Genomic DNA, 21,909 nt, shown 5'->3' on the forward strand with positions numbered 1-21,909 from the left:
GTTTCCCCATCTTCTCCTGACTTCCCCCTATGTCTCTCCCCTATTATAAGGGAAAAGGCTTGTTTTCTTCTTCAATAATGTTGATTAGTTCCTTCAAAACAGTAGAATAGGACTCTTTTTAAGGATCTGGTTTTAGAGACCCAAAGTGTACTTGTTATTTACGAGGGGGTTTAAACTGTGCTTTTCCGGGGGGAAGGAGGAGCTGGAGAAACAGCTCTCACTCCCAGCACCTCTGGAATCCACTGGCTTTGTCCCCAGCTGTTTCTGTGGCTAACAGGACTGCCCTGAGAGGCCCGACCTCCTTCCAGGGACCACTTTTCTTTCTAAAGGATCCCAGGAAGGTTAGGTAAGTTATGAGGGTGAATTGGGTATTTGGATTGAGACTCTAGTGTGGTGAACAGAGGTTCCCTGGGTTCTCTCAGATATTCTTGCTACATATTAAAATCTACAGAGTTACTTTAGCTTACATATGACCCACAGGAAATTCCTGGGCTGAGGATAATTTTGGAATTTGGATGTATCCTCTCTGTAACCTCAGGTCCAACTCAGAAGAGTATGGCCAAGACTAATATCAGGAAAAATCCTAAGAGAACCTTAGAAGAGGAATGGGCGAGGAGATGAATGCTAGTTTACCTCTGGAAATGTCCTGCCCACCCCATTTTTTTTAGAGACAGAGTCTCACCCAGGCTGGAGTGCAGTGACAAGAACATAGCTCACTGCAGCTTCTAACTGCTGAGCTCAAGTGATCCTCCTGCCTCAGCCTCCTGAGTAGCTTGCGTATACAGACATGCACCACCACATGCAGCTAATTTGTTTCATTTTTTTTGTAGAAACAAGGTCTTGCTGTGTTGTCCAGGCTGGTCTCAAACTCCTGGGCTTAAGCATTCCTCCTACCTTGGCCTCCCAAAGTGCTGGGATTATAGGCATGAGCCACTGCACCCAGCTCAGAAATGTTCACTTTCATTCTGAGGGTAGTTTTTCTTTCTTTCTTCTGGGTAACACTAAGACCATTGGTGAAAAGGACTTTCTATAAACTTCAGAACTTGGTGAAGGTCCCTTTGAATGAGGAAATTTGGGAGATTGTATATGCAGCAGCTGGGCTTTGCTCTCTGTCAGGACCGTGTTTGCGTTCTGGTTCAACCACTTAATAACCTGGGCAGGTTAATCACTTTCCCTGGGCCTTAGCTTTCTTGTCTACAAAACAAATATAGTAATGACTCATGCAGTTATGGAGAGTAAGTTTGGCAGATGGTTAAAAACAATTCTGTATGCTCTTGGGTAAAACGTTTCCAGTTAATACATTTATACATATATTATCAGATATGGTCGACTTACTGATAACCTACCATTTTGCATAAAATTACACAGCTTTACTTAAGAGGCACATTTTAAAAATATGACTTTTTCAGATTCTTATTTTAGGTCTAAGGATGGTTATTCTTAAAAATCTAGAAATTACAGATAGTAAAGAGTTGAAAATAAAAACTGCTTATATTTTGTCACCTAGAAATAGCAGTTGACATCTTAGTTTATCTTTTAGGTCTTTGAGTCTTGAGTATCTTGAAAGTTGTTGTACTCTTAAACAAAATGAGATAATGTATCTACTGTTCTGTGAATGTTTTCTCAGCAAGACTCAGCAAACTGCCAGGGGTGAATAGGACAGGGCCAGGAAGTGGGCGAACATACCTAGGTACAAGTCACACTGTAACACATTAATGAAACTTCTTAATGGAAAAATACCAGACATTGCTCAAATACCATTTTCTTTGGTTCAAAATAGGATACTTGGTAACCCTAATTATTACATAAAGGACTTTGAACTACATAGCAGAGTGTCTGCAGAGAGCCACCATTGATTAGCTGTGTGCCCTTGGGAAGTTACTTAAATAGCACTGCAGTTTCCTCATCTGTCAAATGGAATTGTTTTGGGGATGAAATGTGTTAATAAATATTAATCATACAGTGCCTGGTTCAGAGTAAGCACCATAGTTATGTTAGCTACAATAGTAGTAGTGTCTGGTATAATTACCCAGTGTGTAGCAGGTGTTCCAGAGATGCTGACTGTGATAGCAGTTCATATTTTACATCTAATTCCTACTTTTTAATGTTTTTCTTCCTGATATCTTCTTCCCAGTACCTTTACTTTGCATATCTGCCTGATCATCCCATTATTTTGTTAGCAAAGGGGTAGCCTATCTGATATTTTAAGTAAAGGATTAAACAGTAATACTCTTGGGCTACTGCTACCAGAAGGCATAAGAGGTGCATGGTATTGTGGTGTTTTACACAATCTGTTTGTAGCTGAGACCCTAGTCGGGAAGTTACTTATCCTACCAGGAAGAGCAAAATAAAACTCTCATTCCCAGAGTGTGACAGATGACATAGGACAAAATACAGAGATAATAGAAAGAGCTCAGAGAAGAAGGAAAGCCTCCTGGCTGGGTCAGGGGACCTCCTGGGGAATAGACAATACTCACTGGGGTTTGAAGACTTTTTTTTTTTTTTTGAGATGGAGTCTCAGTCTGTTGCCCAGGCTGGAGTGCGGTAGCATGATCTCGGCTCACTGCAACCTCTGCCTCCCAGGTCAAGCGATTCTCCTGCCTCAGCTGCCTGAGTAGCTGGGATTACAGCATGCGCCATCACGCCCGGCTAATTTTTGTACTTTTAATAGAGACAGGGTTTTGCCGTGTTGTCCAGGGTGGTCTTGAACTCCTGACCTCAGGTGATTCACCCACCTTGGCCTCCCAAAGTGCTGGGATTATAGGTGTGAGCCACTGCGCCAGACCTGAAGATGTTTTTTTAAGAGTCGCTGATAGAGGCTGAGGGCTCCATCCTGGGCCCAGCAGGTTGCACAGTACCTGGTGATCAGTAGACACTCAGTAAGTGTTGAAAAAAAGAATGAATGAATGGGTGAATAAGTGAATGAAAGAAGACAGTGACACTCCCATCACAACGTGTAGCAAGGAGAGCCTATCACAAGAAAACCTCAGAATCTGAGAAAACATTACTAGATCTGAAGAGAATTTTCTGTTCTTGATGATAAATTATTTATCTCTTCAGTGAATATTCATTATCCACTGCCTGCCTGTATGGTTCTAGGTACTGGGGAGATGGTGAACAAAACTGTCTTTGCAGTTGCTGTTCTCATGGAGCATATGTTTTATTGGAAGGAAACAGATGACATACAACAAGCAAATAAATCCCTACTATGCTAGGTGATGGTAAGGGGCATGAGTGAAAATAAAGCAAGGGTTGGCGGTTGCCATTTCATATAAGATGATCAGGGAGAGCCTCTTTGGTAAGATGACACTGGGGCAGAGATGAGAAGAAAGTGAGAAAGCAAGGCATCTGCATATCCAGGGGAAGAGCCCTGCTGGAAGGTGGAGCAGCAAGTGCAAGTGGCCTGAGGCAAAAACAGCAAGGAGGCTTGTGGGGCTGGAGTAGAGTAGTGGGCAGGGCTTCCGAGAGGCTGGGAGAGAGTGGAGGAGGGGCAGGCAACGGGAGGCACTGTAGGTCATGGAAAACTCTGGCCTTCACTCAGAATGAGATGGGAAGCCATTGGAGAACGTTGCAGAGGCATGACGTGACTCGATTTCCTTTGTCTATCCTGTGGCGAAAAGGCTATGGAGGGCCAAGAGTAGGAGCAGAGAGACTACTGTTGTAACAGTTTAGGAAGAAGACCGTGGTGGCTTGCCTGGTGTTGCAGTGGAGGTGATGAGAAAGGTCAGATTCTGAATCCAGTTGTGAAAGAAAGAAAACAGTCAAGGGTGACTCCAAGGAAAGACAGAGTTGCCATTTTTTGGGAGGAGAAGCTGGGTGTTGGGGTGGGAATCAAGAGTTCAGCTTTGGACCTGTTGTGCTTGAAATGACTGCTAGAACAACTAGGAGGAGATATTGAGGGGATAGTGTGACTCAGGGGAGTGGTCTGGACATCTGGACTGGAGTTGAAAATGTGAGAGTCATCATCATATGATGGTGTGTGATGCCATGCTGTCAGATAACCAAGGGAAGAGTGGAGAGAGTGGAGTTTGAGGACTGACCCTAAAGTAGTACAACCTGCCAACATCCAGAAGATGAGGAGGAACCTGCTATAGGGCCTGAGAAGAAAAGGCCAGCAAGGTGGGAGGAGAACCTAGAGAGCCTGGTGTCCTGGAGGATAAGGACAGGAAATGATCAACTGTATTAAATACTGCTGTAGGTCACAGAAGGTGCGACTGAGAGCTGACTATAGGTTCTGTCATTTGAAGGTCTTTGGTGACCATGATGGGCACTGTTTCAGCAGAGTGTTAGGAATTGAACTCTAAAGTAAGGCTCACCCTTTTTATGGTGGTTAGTTATTCTCAGTGAACGTTTCTGCTGTTCATAAAGGTCTAGAGTTAAAACAAAATACAATGAATGAATGAAACCAATCTACTCAGCCACAGTTAAGAGATACTTGTACTGAGAGGCCTTCACCTGACTTTCGCGCTCTGGCATCCAGAGTGGGCCAAACCAGGTCAGCAGCAGGTTTGCAGAAAACTGCCTTAGCTGGGTTTGTTTATGTCTGGGCGTGGGTCTCTTACATAACCAGTCAAGTAGGCCACATTTTGCTTTAGCTACAAGGCTCTTAGCTTCTTAAGGGAGAGGTGGATTTTGTTGGAAATCAGTTGAAGAAGCCCTAGGCTGGGCCGTGTCATTAACTGTTTCCTGCTAGACTTGAAGTAGTTGTCAATGTCAGAAGGGAGGCATCTGCAACTGCCTCTCCCTCTCCCCCTTACTAGTTCCAATTCCCCTTCTTTCTATGGGTGGAATCTATTTACTTTCAATTGTCTCCCCTGTGTCACCTGATTAGAGCATTTAGTACAGGAAGGATGGGCTGATGAAAATTTTGACCTCACGGAGCCCTTGTGGAGTCACCTAGATCACATTACAAAGCAGTGAGAATAGGAGAGAGGAGAGCTGGGGATCCCCTTGGAGTTGCTGTTTATCCTCCAGGCACTTTGCAGTGAGAAGCTGGCCCGAGTCCACTTCATCATGTTAGGACATCTTAGTTTCTGAAATCTTGCCTTTGTTCTTGAGAAATGCTGTCTCTGATTGTCTAACTTTATCCTGCAGTTATAATCCCTCCCATTTCATGAGAGCTCATCCTTCAGTCCTTGGAGGTAAATCCTATAGGCAGTTTGATGGCTTTTCTTTCTCTTCACATTTTATGTTTTTCAGTTAACCATGTCCAGGATAGATTTTTCAAAATTTCTTAACACCAGCTAAGTCTGATATAAAAGTCACAACATTTTAAATGTGCTTCGTGAAGCAAATGGAATGTTTTGTGCATGCCAGTGGCCTTGGGTTGTTTTTGAATGTGTAACATTATAGCAGGGGTTGAAATTATTTTTAAAAAGAATCAGAACTAAAATTATGCAACCTCATTTACTTTTTAAATATTTAGGAAGCATAACTAATAAAGAATTTATAGGGTGCTTACTATGTCAGAGTCTGCTCTAATCACTTAAAATATTAACTCATTTAATTTTCAGAATAATTCTATGAGATGGATATATTATTGCCTTATTTTACAGATCAGGAAATGCAAGCACAGAGAGCTTAAGTAACTTGCCCCAGTCACACAGCTAATAGGTGGTGGAGTAGAGACTTGAACCCAGGCAGTTCAGGGCTCATGCTTTTAACCACTGCAACACACGAGTGTTTTTCACTAATTTAAAATCTGCAGCCATTTTTCTAAAATGGGAGTTGAGCTTTGGCTACTTTTATATTGTCTTTGAAATATATGCTTACCAAATATTAAAAATTATCAACAAAACTATAATGTTAATTTTTAGCTAAGAAAAACTTCCTATAAGACAGCATTAATTTAAAACAAGTAGCTGGTTCTTATTGCAAATTATTTCTATATGCTCATTGAAAAAGCAGTCCATTTTTGGGGTCAATAACTTTTTCACTTAATTTGTTACTGGAGTAGTTACATATAGAAGTGATAAAATCATATTTCTTGAAAATATTGAAAAGATACCTTTAAAAAAAGAAACTATTTTTGGGGACTTTCTGACCTAACCCAAAAAGCCTGCTAGACAAATTTGAAAAGGGCTGTAACACTTAAAAAAATGAAACTATTATAGCTTTTCCTTTGAATAGGCTGAAACATGGTAGAGCAATTAGCCACTTCAATATACGTAGCTGATGTTTACTTGAAAGTGTCCTTTAAGGCTTATTTTCCTTTCACGATCAGTCTTCTGCTGGTTTTAAGCCCATTATTTGCAGTGGCTAGTGTTGAAGTTAATAAAGGAGTGGTGGTCCTGTTAGTCTGCATCATTTTCTTGTTTGTGAGTCTGTGTTCACTTCTAGATCCTATTGTCTTGAGGCATCCTTTGACAAGCAGAGGCTATGTATGCCTCAGAAAAATACTCAAAAGGATGTTTGTGCCAATGTTATTAATGATTGCAGCAAGTGATTAAATCTACATGTCAGGTTCTAGGTGACAGAAGTAGAGAGGAGATTATGCTGGATTATGCTCTTGCACACCTATGTCCTTCACAAGACTTACTGTCTCGGTGGAGCCATTACCCGAGTGACAGGAAGATGACATGGGCTAAGCCACCTTTTCTTCCTTTCCTTTCCTTTTTCCTTTCTCCTTTCCTTTCTTTTTTCCTTTTTCCTTTTGTTTCTCCTTTCCTTTCCTTTTTCCTTTCCTTTCCTTTTCCTTTCTTTCTCTTTCTCTTTCTTTCTCTCTGTCTCTTTCTCTTTCTTTCTCTCTGTCTTTCTCTTTCTTTCTCTCTTCCTCTCTTTCTGTCCTTCCTTCCTTTCCTTCCTTTCCTTTCTTCCTTCCTTTCCTTCTTTTCCTTTTTCCTTTTTCTTCTTTGAGACAGGGTGTTACTTATTCTGTCGTCCAGGCTGGAGTGTAGTGGCGCTATCACAGCTCACTGCAGCCTCCACCTCCCAGGCTCAAGCAATCCTCTCACTTCAGCTTCCTGAGTAGCTGGGACTACAGGTGTGCACCACCACACCCATCTGATTTTTGTATTTTTAGTGGAGACAGGGTTTAGTCATGTTGCCCAGGCTGGTCTTGAACTCCTGGGCTCAAGTGATTCACCTGCCTCAGTTTCACAAATTGCTGGGATTACAGGTGTGTGAGCCACCGTACCTGGCATAGGCCACTTTTTGAAAGTATATGGTGAATTCTTCTAGGAATAGTCCATCTTGGAGATGTCCACAAACACAAAGATGACATTGAATCATAGAGTCATGCAGGTATTTTCTTTCAATCATTCTGTTGATTGAAGGAGAAAGTCTCAGTGTGGTACCCTTGCATCTTTAACATTTCTTGAATCCTTCAGAATCTCCCTTTGCAACAAAGAGTCAGAATCTAATTTCATTGTTTTGTTTGCATGATTTCAGTACATATAATTCCCTTCTTCTTTTTTTTGAGATGGAATCTCACTCTGTCGCCAAGGCTGGAGTGCAGTGGCGCAATCTCGGCTCACTGCAACCTCCATCTCTGGGTTCAAGCAATTCTCCTGCCTCAGCCTTCCGAGTAGCTGGGACTACAGGCGTGTGCCACCATGCCCGGCTAATTTTTTATAATTTTTAGTAGAGACAGGGTTTCATCATGTTAGCCAGGATGGTCTCGATCTCCTGACCTTGTGATCTGCCTACCTCAGCCTCCCAAAGTGCTGAGATTACAGGCGTGAGCCACCGCGCCTGGCCTTCCCTTCTACTTTTGACAGGAATAATATTGGCTTTCTATGTACAGTGGGGATAAGATTTTTCTTAATCTTAGGTATTTTTTAAATTAATTTTATTTAAAGAAAAAAGGCGAGTCCATTTAAAGATGGGTACTAAAGAATATAGGTGAATATATCCATGAAACAATATAGGTGATATGTAAATATGGCAAAATTGTGAATTTGGTAGAAGAATGAGAAAAGCTTGGGAAGTGTTGTTCTAATATCTAATATGGCTGATTTTGTAGAGACCCACAATCTCTTCTTTGAAATTCTTGGGACCAGATTTGTTTTGGAATTCCGAATTTTCAGATCTTTTTGGCCTGGTGTTCATACTGATATGATATGACTCCCATAGGAGACACTGGGGCAATGCTATCATCAAGTGTATTAATATTTCTGCAGCAAAATGTATGACATTGACACCAAGTAGAGCAAGTAAAGAATATGCATGGTCCAATGTGGGCTCAGGTCAGATTGTGCCACAGAATATGTTTTTGAACCAAACTTATGGGGAAAATTCTGATTTTCAGAGCTTTCTGGATTTCAGAATTGCAGTTAAGACAATGTAGACTGGCCGGGCGTGGTGGCTCATGCCTGTAATCCCAGCACTTTGGGAGGCCGAGGCGGCTGGATCACGAGGTCAGAAGGTCGAGACCATCCTGGCTAACACGGTGAAACCCCGTCTCTACTGAAAAATACAAAAAATTAACTGGGTGTGGTGGCGGGCACCTGTAGTCCTAGCAACTTAGGAGGCTGAGGCAGGAGAATGGCGTGAACCTGGGAGGTGGAGCTTGCAGTGAGCCGAGATTGCGCCACTGCACTCCAGCCTGGTGACAGAGCGAAACTCCATCTCAAAAAAAGAAAAAAAAAAAAAAAAAGAAAATGTTTTTCTTTAACATCGTATGTTTCCTCCAGAAGCTTAATGAATCTCACACTTCAGTGTTCTGTGTGGAGAAGAGATAGATTTAGAAGCAGAATCTGAAGCCAGGGCCATTTGACTTGTGAAACTACAATTCATACAACTTTGGAACTTTTATGATGTCCTCATTACCTTCCAAGAAAGAATGGATTTTTTTTTTGCTCATGGTACTTCAGCCCAACAGTTATTAATCTTTTTTTATTTCCTGATTCACCCCCATGGGCTTATCAGGTTTTATGTTATGACATAGATAAGACAGGCAGTGGGACATGTGACATTTCTAATGGACTAACAGCAGTACTATTCCTATGTACCTATTCAAGAAAATTTACGGGGATGTTAGTGAGGATGGCATTTACTATAGGTATAACATTGACTCTGCCCTGTGAAAGTCATTTAAACATACTGAAAATCTGTTATTACCATAACACACTATGATTAGTATTAATAACCTTGCACTTCACACTGAACATGGTTAAAAATTGCTATCCATAATAATTACAAATTTAATAGTAATTCTGACCAATAATATTTATTGAGCACTTTTTACCAGGCATGTGTCAAGTCTTTACATGTCTGAACGCACTTAATCCTCATAACCACACTATGAGGAAAGCATAATAGTAATCTGCTTTTATGGATGAGGAAACTTTGTGAAGATATCTAGAGGGCTAGTAAACTAGCCAAGGTCACAAGACACAAGGCGTTCTAGCTCGAATGTGTTTTATTGCCTTTGACTCTTCATTCTCTACAAACACAGTAACAGCTTAACTCTCTGGGACTCAATTTTAGGCAACCTCATCTATTTGGAACAAAGCTGAGACATGAAAGCAAGCATAAACATTTCCGTAACCAAAATAGAAGTAAAATTCTCCACGTGTGAGATTCTGCATGTTAGCAAGCAGTACCGAGCCAGAACTGCTAGGCTGTGTACTCTCTTGGGTCCTTTGATAGAGGGTCATTGAATCTGAGCATGTCAGTGGAAACTGAGGATCACAGTACAGTCACTAATACTTCTAAGTTATTAATAAAGGGAAATTAAGTTTAGTTATCAATAAAGGGAAATGTATAGTTTTTGTTTGTTTGTTTTGAGACGGAGTTTCACTCTTGTTGCCTAGTCTGGAGTGCAATGGCACGGTCTCGGCTCACCGCAACGTCCACCTCCCAGGTTCAAGTGCTTCTCCTTTGTCAGCCTCCTGAGTAGCTGGGATTACAGGCATGCGCCGCCATGCCCAGCTAATTTTGTATTTTTAGTAGAGATGGGGTTTCTCCATGTTGGTCAGGCTGGTCTCGAGCTCCCAACCTCAGGTGATCTGCCCGCCTTGGCTTCCCAAAGTGCTGGGATTACAGGCGTGAGACACCATGTCCGGCCTGAAGTTTAGTTACTAATAAAGGGAAATGAAGTTTAATTTAAAAATATAGTAGAAATCAAAAGCAAAGATTTAATTGATTTTACAAAGGCCTCTAATGATGGGGAAAATAACGCTTGAAGTGGGCAAATATTTATCTATCTAGAACTTTTCATCCTACGTAAAAATTCTAGATAGCTGAGGTTTGGATATAGATGAAAAATTACTTGCATGTAGATCTTAAAATCTAGCCAAAAGCCCTCTTAAAAAATGCACTTGACTTTTTTTCTTATGGTCTAAGAAGGTAAAGCTTGACTGTAAAATAAGCCCCTTCTCCTTTATTTGCCCTGTTTTCATTTTTGTACTCTAGATCGCTCCTTCGATATCCTAAAAAAATCCAAGCCGCCCTCGACATTGCTTGCTGCAGGCCGGCTTTCAGACATGCTGAATGGAGGTGATGAAGTCTACGCTAACTGTATGGTGATTGATCAGGTAAGGCCCAACTGACATTACAGGATGATTTCTACCTCTCTCCAAAACCTGGGTTTGTAAGAAATAGATTCAGCATTGTTGTGTTCCTTTGACAATTTTAGCCTAAGAGCAGCAAAGAGGATGCTGTTGTGGGGTCTCATTGTATGAGCATTTAAGCATTTAACTTAGGTGCTTACTTCAGAACACAAGACACCTTACTCAACCCAGAGGCACTGTCAGGGAGGGGTCTTGAGATACTGCCAAATGGGAAGAGTGTGAGAGCTCTTCTTCGGGGCCCAAGTAGGAAATGACAACTGTGCAACCAATGTCTCCTCTACAGCTTTTCAAAAAACAGTATGTATATGACCTGATTATGCAATATTTGTATTCAAATCCAGCAAATGTAATGAGCAGGTGCTTGGTCCCAGCACCATAGGAAACTGTCACATAAATTACTTGCTTAATCGATACAACGCATCTATTAACATGTAGTAAGATTGTAGAGCTTTCATATTAATACAGAATGGTATCATATTATAAAGAAGCTGGAATCCTTTGGAACTTTCCACCCAGTCCCTGATAGAGACTTTTGAGTTAAATCTCACAGAAGCAGATGGTTTGAATGTGCTGGCATCTTCTTGTCTTTTGTTCTTTTCTCTAGCTCAGTGATCTTCAAATTTTAGTATTTATAAAAATTATAGATCTGAAGATTTCTACACACTAATATATGGAGGATTTAAGGGATTTTCAAGGGTAGTTTTGATGACACAAAGTCTGCCTTATAAACTGACTTTAAAACTTAATCCCTATATAAGATCCACCCTATCTACTCACTGAGCAGTAAGACATTTAACCCTTTTATGTTGTTAGTATGCATGTATTTTACCCTATTTATAGATATATTCTGTGATCTAAACTTTTTTTTTTTCCATCTAGAGCTCAATTTCAGCCCTTCAGTAGCACATCTCTGCATTTTCCTTTTGTGTTACAAAGCACTGTTATATCAAATGCAGCACAGATTGGGATGGTAGTCATAATGACAGAGAAACCAATAAATCAGAATGGACTTCAGCTGTAAATAACTGGTATAGTTGTTTTGGTATAAACTAACTGAAGGTCAGTCCTAGTTATAGAAATCTAGAATGGGTCATGGAGTGTAGGACACAGTGGGAGTTCTGAGGAGATTTTCAAGACACAGGATGTGTTAGTCCCTTCCCACACTGCTATGAAGAAATACCTGAGACTGGGTAATTTCTAAAGAAAAGAGGTTTAATTGACTCACACTTCTGCATGGCTGAGGAGGCCTCAGGAAACTTAAAATAATGGCGGAAGATACCTCTTCACAGGGCAGCAGGAGAGAAAATGAGTGCTGAGTGAAGAGGGAAGCCCCTTATAAAACCATCAAATCTCGTGAGAACTCACTGTCATGAGAACAGCATGGGGAAAACCACCCCCCATGATTCAATTATCTCCACCTGGTCCTGCCCTTGACACATGGGAATTATTATAATTCAAAGTGAGATTTGGATGGGGACACAGTGCCAAACCATACCACAGGGTAATTGGACTTGGTGTGTTCTAGCCATGTTCTAGTATTTATTTATTTTTTTCCAGCTTTATTAAGGTATAATGAACAAATAGAAATTATATATATTTAAAGAATACAATGTAATGTTTTGATACATGTACATATTATGAGATAATTACCACAATCAAGCTAATTAAGCACATATATCATCTCACATATTTATTTTTGTAGTGAGAATACTTAAGATCTACAGCAAATTTCAAGTACAAAGTGCATTATTAACTATAGTCACCATGTTGTACATTAGGTCTCAAGAACTTATTCATTGTGTAACTGAAAGTTTGTACCCTTCGACTAACACTTCACCATTTCCCCCACCCTCCAACCCCTAGTAAGCACTCTTCTACTCACTGTTTCTATGAGTTTGACATTTTTACATTCCACATATAAGTCAGATCATGCAGTATTTGTTTTTCTGTGTTTGGCTTATTTTACTTAGCATAATGTCTTCCAGATTCATCCATGTTGTCACAAATGGCAGGATTTTTTTTCTTTTCTAGGGCTGAATAATATTCCTGTGTGTGTGTGTGTGTGTGTGTGTGTGTGTGCATGTGTGTGTTTGTGTGTGCAGGTATATGGAATCTGTCACATTTCAGTCAATGGTGGAATCCATATGCAAAGGTGATCCCATAAGATTATAATACCATATTTTTACTGTACTTTTTCTATATTTAGATATATAAGTACTTACCATTGTGTCCCAGTTGCCTACAGTATTCTGTATAGTAACATGCTGTATAGATTTGTAGCTTAGGAGAAATAGGCTATACCATATAGCCTAGGTGTGTAGAAGGCTATACTAGCAGGTTTGTGTTAGTACACTCTATGATGGTTGCACAATAGCAAGATAAACTAAGGATGCATTTCTCAGAACATATCTACATACTTAAGTGAGGAATGACTGTACTTATCCTTGGAGTCTCCAAAGTGATAGTCTTTTGTATGCTAGTGAGATGACTGGTGGCTGGCAGCCCCTAGGTAGTTTCAGGATGTGGGCTGGTCACCGGAAAGGCCAAGGCAGGGTTACAGGATTGGGATTTTCAGCTCCACCTACCAGCATCCACGGAAGGAGGAGGGGCTGAAGGTTAAATTGATCACTAATTACTAATAATTTAACCAATCATGCCTGCATAATGAAGCTTCCATAAAAACCCAAAAGGACGGGCCGGGCACGGTGGCTCACGCCTGTAATCCCAGCACTTTGGGAGGCCGAGACGGGCGGATCACGAGGTTAGGAGATTGAGACCATCCTGGCTAACATGGTGAAACCTGTCTCTACTAAAAATACAAAAAATTAGCAGGGCGTGGTGGCGGGTGCCTGTAGTCCCAGCTACTCGGGAGGCTGAGGCAGGAGAATGGCGTGAACCCGGGAGGCGGAGCTTGCAGTGAGCCGAGATTGTGCCACTGCACTCCAGCCTGGGTGACAGAGCAAGACTCTGTCTCAAAAAAAAAAAAAAACCCAAAAGGACTGGGTTCAAGAGATTCTGGATAGCTGAATACATGGGGGTTCCTGGAGGGTGGTGCACCTGTGGAGGGTGTGGAAACTCTGTGCCCCTTCCGGAGTTCCTTGCCCTAAGCATCTCTTCCATCTGACTGTTCTCTGTATCTTTTGTAATATTCACTATAATAAACCAGGAAATGTAAGTGTTTCCCTGAGTTCTGTGAGCTGCTCTAGCAAATTGATTGAACCTGAGGAGGGGCTGTGGGAACCCCATTTTATAGCTGGTTGATAAAACAATCTGGGGCTTGTGGTTGTCATTGGAAGTAGTGGGGAGTCTTGTGGGACTGAGCCCTGTGGGACCAGACTCCATCTCCAGGTCGATAGTGCCAGAATTGAATTGAACTGAATTAGAGGAAATTCAGTGGTGGATTGCTTCCTTGCTGCATGTCGGGGGAAAACCCCACACATTTAGTCACAGAAGAGTTCTGTGTTGATTGTTGAGTAAGAGAATAGAAAAAAAGACTGTTTTTATCCCTATATTTTCAGAAAATCATATGTGCCACATTTTCTTTATTCATCTGTTGTTGGACACTTAGGTTGATTCCATCTCTTGGCTACTGTGAATAGTGCTGCAGTGAACATGGGAGTGCAGACATCTCTTTGGGATAGTGATTCTGTTTCCTTTGGATATATACTCAGTGGTGGGATTGCTGGATCATATGGTAGTTGTATTTTAAATTTTTTTAGGAACTTTCATACTGTTTTCCACTGTGGCTGTGCTGATTTACATTCCCAACAGTGTATAAGAATTCCCCTTTCTCCACATCCTTGTCAGCTTTTTTTTTTTTTTTTTGTCTTTTTGGTAATAGCCATTCTAACAGGTGTGAGGTGGTATCTCATTGTAGTTTTGTTCATTTTTCTGATGATTAGTGACGTTGAGCACTTTTGCATATACCTATTGGCCATTTGTGTGTGTCATTTTTTGGGAAAATGTCTATTTAGGTACTTTATTTTTAAATCTGGTTATTTGTGGGTTTGTTTGTTTGTTTGTTTTTGCTATTGAGTTGCGTGAGTTCCTTACATATTTTGGGTATTAACTCCGTATCAGATGCATGGTTTGTAAATATCTTCTCCAATTCTATAAGTTGCTGTTTTATTTTGCTGTTTCCTTTGCTGTGCAGAGATTTTTTGGTTTGGTGTAGTCACACTTATTTATTTTGCTTTTCTTGCTTGTGCTTTTGGTGTCACATCCAAAAAATAATTGCCAAGACCAATGTCAAGGAGTTTTTCCTCTGTGCTTCCTCCTAGGAGTTTTATGGTCTCAGGTTTTATGTTAAAGCCTTTATTGCATTTTGAGTTGATATTTGTATATGTGGTAAGATAGGGATCCAGTTTCATTTTTTTTGCATGTAGCTATCCAGTTTTCCTAGTATCATTATTGAAGGATCTGTCTTTTCTCTGTTGTGTATTTTTAGCACATTTGTTGAAGATTAATTGACTGTATTTATGTGTGGGTTTATTTCTGGACTTTCTATTCTGTTCCATGTGCCCATGTGTCTGTTTTTATGTCAGTACCATAATGTTTTGATTACCATATCTTTGTAATATAATTTTAAGTTAGGCAGTGTGATGCTTCTGACTTTGTTCTTCTTGCTAAAGATTGCTTGAGCTCTTCTGGGTCTTTTGGGATTCCATTCAAATTTCAGGATTTTTTTTTCTATTTCTGTGAAAAATTGCCATTATAATTTTGATAGAGATTAAATAGAATCTGTAGTTCACTTTGGGTAGTATGGATATTTTGACAACATGAGTTCTTCCAATCCATGAACACAGGATATCTTTCATATGAATTCTTCTAATCCATGAACATAGGATATCTTTCCATTTATCTGTGTTGCTTCAATTTCTTTCATTTATGTTTTATAGTTTTCAGTGCATATATTTTTGTCATGTTTTGATTTTAATAGATTTATTCTGCTGCCATATTTTCTTAGCTGTTTAAATAAAATACTTCTTGAGCCCTTATTTTTTTTGTTCTGAGCCTTAGTGAATACTGTAACTATAGTATTTCCATTTACCTCAAGTAACTAAAATTGTAAATTACTCAATATTATGTGGGGAAAACTATATATATTATGCTTTTATATGTTCTCAGATACATTAAAAATGCAAAATTTACCAAACCAAAGATTTGGTAAATAAAAGGTTAGGATATAATTTTCTTTCGTTCTCTTTCTTTCTTTCTTCCTTCCTTCCTTCCTTTCTTTCTTTCGTTTTGTTTTTTTTTTTTTTGAGACAGAGTCTTCCTCTGTCATCCAGGTGGGAGTGCAATGGTGCCATCTTGGCTCACTGCAATCTCCACCCCCCAGGCTCAAGCAATTCTTGTGCCTTAGCCTCCAGAGTAGCTGGGATTACAGGTGTGCACCATGACACCCGGCTAATTTTGGTATTTTTAGAAGAGACAGTTTCGCCATGTTGGCCAGGCTGGTCTTGAAATCTTGGCCTCAAATGATCTGCCCACCTTGGCCTCCCAAGTACTGGGATTACAGGCATGAGCCACTACACCCGGCCAAGATATAATTTTTATTCTGGAATATTCTGGGTGAAAGAAGTATTGCTTTAATGATGTGAAGCCAAAAAGAAAAAAAAGTGAAGCATGCATTTAGAGAGAACTCAAACAAGTTAATTCAACAAACTGCAACATAGCAGATTGCCAAGTTGTGCATTGTAAACTGAGAAATAAAACTAAATCTGCAACAAAATCACAAAGTCCATTATATTAGCATAGTACTTTTTTTTTTATAGCCCCTATATCTATTTGAATAGCAAGGACAATGTAAGGAATACAAATTCTGCATATTTAAAATGCTTTCTGGCAATATCTGAAAATAATCTTATCTAATTTTCTTTATCTTCCTCAACCTGGCAAGGAAACCTAAAAACATTACTAGCTTATATTAATGTTTCCCATTAATTTTCAAGGTTATCAACCTTCCTGTTGAGAAAATTCACATGATGAAAGTTACTTTGAAAATTTCTGTCATATAAACTACTTAGAAAAACACATTTGTTTCATAATTTCAGTACAGAGAATCCCTGTATACCCTTTACTCAAATTCCTCAAATGGTAATATTTTACTACATTTTACATTGTCATTCCCTGAGTGGGTGGTTATGTGTGCATGCAAATAGTTAAATTATGTCTATAAATGTTTCTTAACCATGTAAGAATAAATGAAAAATATGGTGTTCCTTTACCTCTTAATCTTTCATGGTGTATTTTCCTAAAAACATGGATAGTTTCTTACGTAAGCACAGTACAGTTACCAAAATCATAAAATTATCATCGATACAATGCTATTAGCTATCTCCAGACCTTGTTCAATTTTAGCAAGTTGTCCCAATAATGTTCCCTGTGGCAAAAGAAAATTCCATTACATGTGTTGCATATAGTTGTTGTGTCTCTGTAGTCTCCTTTAATCTGGGACAGTTCCTCAGTCTTTGTGTTTTATGGCACTGATATTTTAAAAGAATACAGACCAGTATTTTTGTTCTTGTGTTTTGCTAAGAGTGTAGTGTCTTTCAGTTTTGGTTTATCTGATATTTCCTCATAATTGGATTCAGGTTAGGCATGTTTGGCAGGAATACTACGGAAGTGATGATGGGTGCTTCTCAGTGAGTTGTATCAGAAGGCATAGGACATCAATCTGTCCCATTACTGGTGATTTTATTAATATCTTTCATCTGCCAAGTTCCTTTTTCAGTAAAATTACTGTTTTTAAAAAATTATTAAGTACCATGTCAGGAGATATTTTAAGCCCTTGTAAATATCCTGTTGCTCATTAGACTTTCACCCATTAATTAAGCATTCATTAATGGTTTTTGCTTTAATAAATTATGATGATGCTCGATGATTTAGGATTCTAACATTTCCCCTTTTGCTTCTTTTTCCCCTTCACTGCTCTATCTCTAAATGGTGTTACTGTCTTCATTTTTACTGTCCTCACTCCAGACTTGATGCCTTTTGATGACCGCCACCTCAAATCATGAGTGCTTAAAAGTACGCCTTTCTTAGAGCAAGTGCTTTCATCAGCTAGGACTCTTTTTCATGCATGTGGGTTGAGCTTTCTCTTTCTGGGGAGGATTTTTAAGTAAGTCTTAGGCCCTCCAGAAGTTCCGTCCTTTCTCTGCCATTCAGAGTTTCCCGACTCCCCTTACCCTCCGCAGAGTCTTATAGCAGGAGCACGAGGCCTTACCTGCTGGATTTGCTGTTGATTTTATTATTTACAGGTAATTTGAAATTTGGGCATTTTCTTTCTTCTAATGATGCTATGTACGTGCACTTTATGTAGCTTTATTTGTTCTTTTTGTTTGGTGTTGCTTTTTGTGAGACTCAGCTTTATGTGACCACTATTACCTTGGTACCCAGATTCCTATGAGCTACTTTTTGAATGAAGCTGTATAGTCTTTAGTTTTCTCCTCAAGTATTTAAAACATTTCCCCCTCATTTTGAGTCAGTGGTTCATAAAATGTTAGAGGCATAATCAGCTTCTGGTTTTGTAATAAAGGAACAACCTTATAAAATACTCAGTTGGTCTTCCTTTATGTGAATTATAGGATAGCTGCCATGTGAACAAAAACATATAAAATAATTCTCTGTTTACATAAAACAAGAGTCTCACTCTGTAACCCAGGCTAGAGTGCACTGGCGCAATCGCTACTCATTGCAACGTCTGCCTCCCATTCAGGCCATTCTCCTGCTTCAGTCTCTGAGTAGCTGGGATTACAGGCGCCCGCCACCACACCCTGGCTAATTTTTGTATTTTTAGTAGAGATGGGGTTTCACCATGTTGGCCAGGCTAGTCTTGAACTCCTGACCTCAAGTGATCTGCCAGCCTCGGCCTCCTACCACGCCTGGCCAGAAGTTTTTAAATTGGGAAAATTTTATTAATTCTTAGCTAGGCCAATCTTACCTGCTTTTACTCAGGAAATGTTTTTCTTTCAACTTCCAGGTTGGTGATTTGGATATCAGCTATATTAATATAGAGGGAATCACTGCCACTACCAGCCCTGAATCCAGAGGTTGCACTCTGTGGCCTCAGAGCAGCAAACACACCCTTCCTACAGAAACCAGTCCCAGTGTGTACCCACTTAGTGAAAATGTCGAAGGGACAGCACACACTGAAGCCCAGCAGTCCTTCATGTCACCATCAAGTTCGTGTGCTTCCAACTTGAATCTTTCTTTTGGTTGGCATGGATTTGAAAAGGAACAAAGTCATCTAAAGAAAAGAAGGTAAGAGTCTATATTGTAGAGGAAAACTGTAGAACATCAAAGAACCTTATAGGTAGACTTCAAAAATTCTAGTTTTAAACTTTTTATTGTCTCTACCACTTTTATTTGCCCATCAAAATGTCCCCTTTTAGGTTCCTATATTCACTGATTTGAAAGTAAGACACTTAAGAAAACTGACTAAAATATGATAAAGGAAAACCACGATGAGATACCAGTTTATACTCACTTGACTGGCAAAAATTAAAAAATCTAACAATCCCATGTTTTGGTGAGAATGCATAACATGGAAATTCCTGCATAAAGATGATAGGAGAGAAAATTGTGTAACTTGGGAAAATAATTTGACATTATCTTGTAAAGTCAAATATGCATTTTCCTCTCGTGTACTAGGAGACCTATATGGAGTATTATTATAGCAGCAGGAAATAACCCAAATGTGGAATAAATAACTTATATATAGTTACACAATAGAATACTGTACAGTAATGAAAATGAATTAGCTACAATTACATCTGCATGCATAATAACATAGACCTTAGAAGCATGAAGGAACAAAAAAAGCCCCAAAATACTTGTTAGATTTCATTTTTATAGAATGCAAATTAAAAAATATATTATTATAGGGCACCTACATATGTGCATAAGCTATAAAGAAAAACAAGAGGCCTGGCGTGGTGGCTCACGCCTGTAATTCCAGCACTTTGGGAGGCCAAGGCAGGCAGAATGCTTGAACTCAGGAGCTCAAGACCAGCATGGGCAACATGGTAAAACCCCATCTCTACCAAAAATACAAAAATTATCTGGGCATGGTGGCACGCACATGTGGTCCTGATACTTGGCAGGTTGGGGTGGGAGGATCGCTTGAACCTGGGAGGCAGAAGTTGCAGTGAGCCAAGATGGCACCACTGAACTCCAACCTGGGTGACAGAGTGAGACCTGTCTCAAAAAGAAGAAAAAAAAAAAAAAAAGAGAGAAAAAGAAAAACAAAATAATGAAGGGGAAAAAATTCCTAAATTCAAAATAGTTGTTACATCTAGGGAAGGAAATAGGGAAATGGGAATGGAATGAATCATAACAGAGTTTCCATGGTAGATGGCCAGTATCCAAGTTTCAAGGTGGGTGGGCTCATGAGTGTTTGTTTTATTTAACATATGTTTGTATTTTATATTTTAACATAAAATTTATCTTATATTTATTTTACTTTCAGTTACCTTATATTTTCTTGCATATATAAAAACTCATTGAAATGATAGTTTCATTGCATCTGATATGATTACATATATTAGTGTGTGTGCACACATGTGTGTCCATATCTGTATATCTGTATCTGTCTATCTGATTGTCTATTTTCTTTTGGGAACAGGCCAATTTCCACTAATTTCATTTTATCCTGTTGATCACACTTTCCTTAGGGAGTAGCTTTTTTTTCCCCCATATCCTACCCATGTGATTATATGTTCATTTTCACGTATAAAATGAATCAAAGTGAACATAAAATGCACACACATATGTGACTATGTATATAAATATTTCTCTGTGAATGAACATGCACATAGGTGAATGAGTATTCAGCAGGGAGTTAATATAGAGGGGAGAGAAAGGTAGAGGAACCAGCAATCAGTAGGTGTCCATCACTGAGATACACCACAACATGCAATTTGAGGTTGTAAAACTTTAGCACATATTGGTACCAAGGGTTATGTGTGATGTGTAAATAATAAAAGACTTGCTTTAGATTTATACTTTGTGAATTATGGTTTTGTAGATGCTGGGTAGTCACTACTATAATTTGAAGTGATAGGCTAATTTGAACTGTCCACACGTCTGCTTGGGACAAGAGACTGCCAGTCCACACAAGATTCTATACAGTTTTGCAAAAATAAATTGAGCTATGTGTGATAAATGCATTCTAGTGGATCTTTAAGATCTGTCAAGTGGCCAGGTATGGTGGCTCACACCTGCAATCCCCGTACTTTGGGAGGCCGAGGCAGGTGGATCACCTGAGGTCAGGAGTTTGAGACCAGCCTAGGCGGCCAACACGGTGAAACTCCCGCTCTAGTAAAAATACAAAAATTAGCTGGGCATGGTGGCACACATCTCTAATCCCATCTACTCAGGGGAGGGGCTGAGGCAGGCTCATTGCCTGAATCCGGGAGGCACAGATTTCAGTGAGCAGAGATGGCACTACTGCACTCCAGCCTGGGGGACGGAGTGAGACTCTGTCTTTAAAAAAAAAAAAAAAAAAAGTCTGTCAGGTGTGTGAGCCCCCAGATCTCAAGAGATAAATAAGTTCTTTAGAAGTCTTCTAGGAATATAGCATGGAAAAGACACAAAATAGTCTGTCTGTTTTATTGATACTTATGCAGATACTTGCAGAGTATCGAAATTATACTTTCTGATCATGGTCTTGTCTTGGAAAGTTTAACATTTCACTGCTACAGATAGAATTTTTCCTCTGTAGAATATAATTTAGACAAAATATCTGTTTTGAGTACAGGTAATTAGAAGCTTCTGTGAAGATGTCACTGCTCAGGGGAAAGGGAGGAAGCCAGGAGAGGAAGGAGAAGCCATTCTACAGAAAAGCTTTCTGGCTGGTTCCACGAGCTGACTTCATCTCCTTTGCCCTCCCTCTCCTCTGAAAAATGTAGGAATGAAGGGAGAGAAGTCGCAATCCCTGGAAAGCCCTGGGGTGGCTGTGGGTCCCTTCCTTCAGTGGATGTCATGGTAGGAAGCACAGTTGATAACAAACTCAAAGTGAAATGCACTTAATTTGTTAATAAGCAGATAATAGCCCTAGAGGCTGGAAACCTCTAATGAAGGAGAAATTTGGGGGCACACAGTAAAAACTGGAGTTAATATAAGGACATAGCTGACTGGGACCTGAGTCCTAAGTTTTCTAGGGTTTAAAAGAATATTTTGGTGAAACTAAAATATGTATACTATGTAACCATTATGTTATATTATTTAAATGTAATAACTGTTTTGAGAAGCCACAAAGGGAAGATAAGTAATAAAAACATTAATTTAAAAATACTATACAGCAAAAAATTAAGCAGCAGACAAGTGTTTGTTTCATTCTAAAGCTTGTATTTTTCAAACCTTTTAAAAAAACTACAGAGCAAGAAATGCA

The 21,909-nt window shown here is 39.6% G+C and overlaps 1 protein-coding gene and 1 pseudogene across 5 annotated transcripts in view; one reads left to right on the top strand and one right to left on the bottom strand.

Moving 5' to 3' along the window:
* Positions 1 to 21,909, top strand: part of ARHGEF28 (Rho guanine nucleotide exchange factor 28) — a 315,795-nt gene that overhangs the window by 195,786 nt on the left and 98,100 nt on the right. For all 5 annotated transcript variants that reach the window (NM_001080479.3, NM_001177693.2, NM_001388076.1 and 2 more), the window contains 2 exons: positions 10,357 to 10,478; positions 18,499 to 18,779. In NM_001080479.3, the coding sequence (NP_001073948.2) occupies positions 10,357 to 10,478; positions 18,499 to 18,779 (403 nt within the window). The remainder of the gene's footprint in view (positions 1 to 10,356; positions 10,479 to 18,498; positions 18,780 to 21,909) is intronic.
* Positions 6,031 to 6,092, bottom strand: RNU7-196P (RNA, U7 small nuclear 196 pseudogene; annotated as a pseudogene).

Source organism: Homo sapiens, chromosome 5 (assembly GCF_000001405.40).
Source record: "Homo sapiens chromosome 5, GRCh38.p14 Primary Assembly".
Lineage (NCBI taxonomy): Eukaryota > Metazoa > Chordata > Mammalia > Primates > Hominidae > Homo > Homo sapiens.